Source organism: Homo sapiens, chromosome 10 (assembly GCF_000001405.40).
Source record: "Homo sapiens chromosome 10, GRCh38.p14 Primary Assembly".
Classification (NCBI taxonomy): Eukaryota; Metazoa; Chordata; class Mammalia; order Primates; family Hominidae; genus Homo; species Homo sapiens.
Genome location: NC_000010.11, coordinates 84,646,496 through 84,654,053, shown reverse-complemented (window position 1 = coordinate 84,654,053; position 7,558 = coordinate 84,646,496). Strand labels below are relative to the sequence as shown.

The 7,558-nt window shown below is 41.9% G+C and overlaps 1 annotated feature.

The window, feature by feature from the left end:
• Positions 2,714-3,233: an enhancer, noted in NCBI's record as "H3K27ac-H3K4me1 hESC enhancer chr10:86410577-86411096 (GRCh37/hg19 assembly coordinates)". NCBI's record gives its function as "activates a minimal SCP1, AML or CMV promoter by ChIP-STARR-seq in primed H9 embryonic stem cells {active_cell/tissue: H9 hESC(primed)}" and the evidence as "EXISTENCE:reporter gene assay evidence [ECO:0000049][PMID:30033119]".

Sequence of the window (7,558 nt, the reverse complement as noted above, 5' to 3'; positions counted from 1 at the left end):
GAGAATCAAGCTCAGAAAATGATCAGGATCAAAAAGAAGAGGTACTGCCAGAAACACATGAATTTGGCCCAGTGCAGTGGCCCACACCTGTAATCCCACCACTTTGGGAGGCCGAGGTGGATGGATTGCTTGAGCTCAGGAGTTTGAGACCAGCCTGGGCAACATGGCGAAACCTTATCTCCACAAAATATTAGCTGGGCGTGGTGGCGCACACCTCTGGTCCCAGCTACTCGGCAGGCTGAGGTAGGAGGATCACTTGAGCCCAGGAAGCGGAGGTTGCAGTGAGCCGAGATTGTGCCACTGCACCACTCCAGCCTGGGAAACAGAACCAGACCTTCTCTCAAAAAAAAGAAAGAAACACGTGAACTCTTCCCACAGGACCAATCTAGGATGGCACGTGTGCTTCAGAGGCTGAACACTGGGTGGTGAAGCATTAGCCCAAACCCAGGTGACAACACTTCAGATGCTGCCCCAGCACCATCACTGCTGCCCCTGGAACTAGGCCATGGTTGTTACCACTGCAGACAGCCAGTGAATTCTCTGCTGGCTTATGTCTTTGCATTCCTAACTTTGGATTGAAAATGCCAAGTAAGTCTATCTCATTGACCAGCCCTTGGTTTGTGCAGGGCCTAAGATTTCATATCTGGCTTTTCAGCTTCCACTGTGGGAAGTTAACTTGGTACCCCAACAAGATCACACAATGAACAGTGAAATTAAGGACAAATGACCACCCCAGTGAACAACCTAACATGAATGTTCTGGGCAGGACATCCTTGCCACCCCTGCTGGACACAAACACTGCCGGTACTGCACGCCACTGCTACTGCTGCTGTGTCCAAAAATGAATTGTATACATCCCTTCAAGATCCAAGGAAGGAGCATCCAAGGAACCAAGTCTTGGCTGCCAGAGAAAGGGATGGAGGAAGCCCCTGGACCTACAGGCTTCCAAAGAAAAAAGTAAGAGGCAATAGATACAGTTACAAAGAAAAGAAAACACGGCACCCAAAGTTCAAGAAGAAGATTTTTTAAGTATTTTAAACCAATATCATCAGAGAAATGCAAATTAAAACCACGAGATATCATCTTATGCCAGTCAGAATGGCCATTATTAAAAAGTCAAAAACAAAAGATAATGGCAATAATATGGAGAAAAGGGAATGCTCATATGCTGTTGGTGGGAATGTAAATTAGTACAACCTCTATGGAAAAGAGTATGGAGATTTCTCAAAGAACTGAAAATAAAGATACCATTCAATCTAGTAACCCCACTACTGGGTATCTACCCAAAAGAAAAGAAATCATTATATTAAAAATAAACCTGCGTGTTTATTGTCACACTCTTCACAATAGCAAAGTCATGGAATAAACCTAAGTGTTCATCAATGGATGATTGGATAAAGAAAATTTGATATGTGTGTGTGTGTATATATATATATATACATACATACATACACACCATGGAATACTACTCAGCCATAGAAAAGAATAAAATAATGTCTTTTGCAGCAACATCATCATAACTGGATGGAGGCCATTATCTTAAGTGAAACAACTCAGAAACATAAAATCAAACACCACATGTTCTCACTTACAAGTGGGAGCTAAAGAATGTGTACACGTGTACATAGGAAGTGGAATAATAGACACTGGAGATTCAGAAGAAGCAGAGTGTGGGAGGGAAGTGAGGAATGAGATATTACTTAATAGTTGGAATGGGATTCCCTGGGCAAGATGGCCAAATAGGAACAGCTCCAGTCTGCAGCTCCCAGAGAGACCAACGCAGAAGGCAGGTGGTTTCTGCATTTCCAACTGAGGTACCCATCTCATCTCACTGGGACTGGTTAGACAGTGGGTACAAGGGGCCGGGGAACTCCCTCTGCTAGCCAAGGGAAGCCATGAATGAGGGACAGTGCTATCCGGCCCAGATACTATGCTTTTCCCACTGTCTTTGCAACTAGCAGACTAGGATATTCCCTTGGGTGCCTACACCACTAGGGCCTTGAGTTTCAAGCACAAAACTGGGTGGCCATTTGGGCAGACACCAAGCTAGTTGCAAGTTTTTTTTCATACCCCAGTGGTGGCTGGAACAGAATCATTCACTCCCTTGCAAATGAGGCTGAAGCCAGGGAGCCCAGTGGTCTTGCTCAGTGAATTCCACCCCCATGGAGCCCAACAAGCTAAGATCCACTGGCTTCAAATTCTGGCTGCCATGGCTCACGCCTGTAATCCCAGCACTTTGGGAGGCCAAGGCGGGCGAATCACAAGGTCAGGAGATCGAGACCATTCTGGCTAACATGGTGAAACCATGTCTCTACTAAAAATACAAAAAATTAGCCAGGCGTAGTGGTGGGCACCTGTAGTCCTAGCTACTTGGGAGGCTGAGGCAGGAGAGTGGCATGAACCCAGGGGGTGGAGCTTGCAGTGAGCCGAGATTGTGCCACTGCGCTCCAGCCTGGGCGACAGTGCCAGACTCTGTCTCAAAAAAAAAAAAAAAAAAAAATTCTGGCTGCCAGCACAGCAGTCTGATGTCGACCTGGAATGCTCCAGCTTGGTGGGGGGAGGGGCATCCACCATTACTGAGGCTTGAGTAGACTATTTTCCCCTCACAGTGTAACAAAGCCGGCAGGAAGTTTGGACTGGGTGGAGCCCACAGCAGTGCCCCAAAGCCACTGTAGCCAGACTGCCTCTCTAGATTCCACCTCTCTGAGCAGGGCATTTCTGGAAGAAAGGCAGCAGCCCCAGTGAGGGCTTTATGGATAAAACTCCCATCTCCCTGGGACAGAGCACCTGGGGGAAGGGGTGGCTGTGGGCACAGCTTCAGCAGACTTAAATGTTCCGGCCTGCCAGTTCTGAAGAGAGCAGTGGATCTTCCACCACAGCACTGGAGCTCTGCTAGGGGACAGACTGCCTCCTCAAGTGGGTCCCTGACCACCATGATTCCTGACAGGGAGACACTTCCCAACAGGGGTCAACAGACACCTCATAAAGGAAAGCTCCAACTGGCAACAGGTGGGTGCCCCTCTGGGACAAAGCTTCCAGAGGAAGGAACAGGTAGCAATTTTGCTGTTCTGCAGCCTCTGCTGGTGATACCCAGGCAAACAGGGTCTGGAGCAGACCTCCAGCAAACTCCAGCAGACCTGCAGAAGAGGGACCTGACTGTTAGAAGGAATACTAACAAACAGAAAGGAATAGCATCAACATCAATAAAAAAGATGACCATGCAAAAAAACCCATCCAAAGTTCACCAACATCAAAGACCAAAGGTAGATAAATCCACAAAGATCAGGAAGAAAACAGTGCAAACAGGATGAAAATTCCAAAATCCAGAATGCCTCTTCTCCTCCAAAGGATCACAACTCCTCATCAGCAAGGGAACAAAACTGGACAGAGAATGAGTTTGATGAATTGACAGACGTAGGTCTCAGAAGGTGGGTAATAACAAACTGCTCTGAGCTAAAAAAGCATGTTCTAACCCAATGAAAGAAAGCTTAAGAACCTTGATAAAAGGTTACAGGAACTGCTAACTAGAATCACCAGTGGAGAAAACATAAATGACCTAATGGAACTGAAAAACACAGCACAAGAACTTTGTGAAGCATACACAAGTATCAATAGCCAAATCGATCAAGCAGAAGAAAGGATATCAGAGATTGAAGGTCAACTTAATGAAATAAAGCATGAAGACAACATTAGAGAAAAACAAATGAAAAGAGCCCCCAAGAAATATGGAACTATGTGAAAAGAACAACATATATTTGACTGGTGTACCTGAAAGTGATGGGGAGAATGGAACCAAGTTGGAAAACACACTTCAGGATATTATCCAGGAGAACTTCCCCAACCTGGCAAGACAGGCCAACATTCAAATTCAGGAAATACAGAGAACACCACTAAGATACTCCTCAAGAAGAGCAACCACAAGACACATAATCATCAGATTCACCAAGGTTGAAATGAAGGAAAAAATGTTAAGGGCAGCCAGAGAGAAAGGTCAGGTTACCCACAAAGGGAAGCCCATCAGACTAACAGTGGATCTCTCTGCAAAAACCATATAAGCCAGAATAGAGTAGGGGCCAATATTTAACATTCTTAAAGAAAAGAATTTTCAACCCAGAATTTCATATCCGGCCAAATTAAGCTTCATAAGAGAAGGAGAAATACAATCCTTTACAGACAAGCAAATGCTGAGAGATTTTGTCACCACCAGGCCATCCTTACAAGAGCTGCTGAAGGAAGCACTAAACATGGAAAGGAAAAACCTGTACCAGTCACAGCAAAAACATGCAAAATTATAAAGGCCATCAATACTATGAAGAAACTGAATGTAGTAACGGGCAAAATAACCAGCTAGCATGATAATGGCAGGATGAAATTCACATATAACAATATTAACCTTAAATGTAAATGGACTAAATGCCCCAATTAAAAGACATAGACTGGCAAATTGGATAAAGAGTCAAGACCCATCAGTGTGCTGTATTCAGGAGACCCGTTTCGTGTGCAAAGACATACATAGGCTCAAAATAAAGAGAGGGAGGAATATTTACCAAGCAAATGGAAAGAAAAAAAACCAGGGGTTGCAATCCTAGTCTCTCATAAAACAGACTTTAAACAAACAAAGATGAAAAGGGACAAAGAAGGGCATTACATAATGCTAAAGTATCAATGCAACAAGAAGAGCTAATTATCCTAAATATATATGCACCCAACACAGGAGCACCCAGATTCATAAAGCAAGTTCTTAGAGACCTACAAGGAGACTTAGACTCCCACACAATAATAGTGGGAGACATTAACACCCACTGTCAATATTAAACAGATCAACAAGACAGAAAATTAACAAGGATATTCACACTTGAACTCAGCTCTGGACCAAGTGGACCTAATAGACATCTACAGAACTCTCCACCCCAAATCAGCAGAATATACATTCTTCTCAGCACCACATAGCACGTATCCTAAAATTGACCACATAATTGGAACTAAAACACTCCTCAGCAAATGCAAAAGAAAGGAAATCATAACAAACAGTCTCTCAGACCACACTGCAATCAAATTAGAACTCAGGATTAAGAAACTCACTTAAAACCACACTAATACATAGAAACTGAACAACCTGCTACTGAATGACTACTGGCTAAATAACGAAATTAAGGCAAAAATAAGTAAGCTCTTTGAAACCAATGAGAACAAATACACAACATATCAGAATCTCTAGGACACAGCTAAAGCAGTGTTAAGAGGGATATTTATAGCACTAAATGCCCTCAGGAGAAAGGGGGAAAGATCTAAAATTGACACCCTAACATCACAATTAAAAGAACTAGAGAAGCAAGAGCAAACAAATTCAAAAGCTAGCAGAAGACAAGAAATAACTAAGATCAGAGCACAACTGAAGGAGATAGAGACATGAAAAACCCTTGAAAAAAATCGATGAATCCAGGAGCTGATTTTTTGAAAATATTAACAAAATAGATGGACCACCAGCCAGAATAACAAAAAAGAAAAGAGAGAAGAATCAAATAAACGCAGTAAAAAAAATGATAAAGGGGATATGGGATATCACCGCTGATCCCACAGAAATACAAACTACCAACAAAGAATACTATAAACACCTCTACGCAAATAAACAAAATAATCTAGAAGAAACAGATAAATTCCTGGACACAGACACCCACCCAAGACTAAACCAGGAAGATGTCGAATCCCTGAATAGACCAATAGTAAGTTCTGAAATTGAGGTAGTAATTAATAGCCTACCAACCACAAAAAGCCCAGGACCACACGGATTCATAGCCTAATTCTACCAGAGGTAAAAAGAGGAGCTGGTACCATTCCTTCTGCAACTATTAGAAGCAATAGAAAAAGAGAAACTCTTCCCTAACTCATTGTATGAGGCCAGCATTATCCTGATACCAAAACCTGGCAAAGACACAACAAAAAAAGAAAATTTCATGCCACTATCCCTGATGAACATCGATGCAAAAATCCTCAATAAAATACTGGCAAACCTAATGCAGCAGCACATTAAAAAGCTTATCCACCACAAACAAGTTGGCTTCATCCCTGGGATGCAGGGCTGGTTCAACATATGCAAATCAATAAACTTAATCCCTCACATAAACAGAACCAATGACAAAAACCACATGATTATCTCAATAGATGCAGAAAATGCCTGCAATAAAATTAAACAACACTTGATGCTAAAAACACTCAATAAACTGGGTATTGATGGAATGTGTCTCAAAATAGTAAGAGCTATTTATGACAAACCCACAGCCAATATCATACTGAATGGACAAAAGCTGAAAGCATTCCCTTTGAAAACTGGCACAAGACAAGGATGCCCTCTCTCACTACTCCTATTCAACATAGTATTGAAAGTTCTGGCCAGGGCAATCAGGCCAGAGAAAGAAATAAAGAGTATTCAAATAGGAAGAAAGGAAGTCAAATTATCTCTCTTTGCAGATAACATGACTGTATATTTACAAAACCCCATCGCCTCAGCTGAAAAACTCCTTAAGCTGATAAGCAACTTCAGCAAAGTCGGATACAAAAATCAATGCACGAAAATTACAAGCATTCCTATACACCAATAATAGACAAACAGAAAGCCAAATCATGAGTGAACTCCAATTCAGAATTGCTACAAAGAGAATAAAATACCTAGGAATACAACTTACAAGGGACATTAAGGCCCACTTCAAGGAGAACGACAAACCACCACTCAAGGAAATAAGAGAGGACATGAACAAATGGAGAAACATTCCATGCTCATGGATAGAAAGAATTAATACCTAGGAATATAACTTACAAAGGACATCAAGGCCCTCTTCAAGGAGAACAACAAACCACCACTCAAGGAAATAAGAGAGGACACGAACAAATGGAGAAACATTCCATGCTCATGGATAGAAAGAATTAATCAAGGAATACAACTTACAAGGGACATTAAGGCCCTCTTCAAGGAGAATGACAAACCACTGCTCAACAAAATAAGAGGCAACACAAACAAATGGAAAAACATTCCATGCTCATGGATAGAAAGAATTAATGTTGTGAAAATGGCCATACTGCCCAATGTAATTTATAGATTCAATGCTATTCCCATCAAGCTACCATTGACTTTCTTCACAGAATTAGAAAACAAACTACTTTAAATTTCATACAGAACCAAAAAAACAGCCCGTATAGCCAAGACAATCTTAAGCAAAAAGAACAAAGCTGGAGGCATCATGCTACCTGAATTCAAACTATACTACAAGGCTACAGTAACCAAAACAGCATGATACTGGTAACAAAACAGAAATATAGACCAGTGGAACAGAACAGAGGCCTGAGAAATAACACCACACATCTACAACCATTTGATCTTTGACAAACCTGACTGAAACAAGCAATGGGGAAAGGATTCCCTATATAATAAATGGTGTTGGGAAAACCAGCTAGCCATATGCAGAAAACTGAAACTGGACCCCTTCCTTACACCTTATAGAAAAATTAACTCAAGATGGATTAAAGACTTAAGTGTAAAATGCAAAACCATAAAAACCCTAGA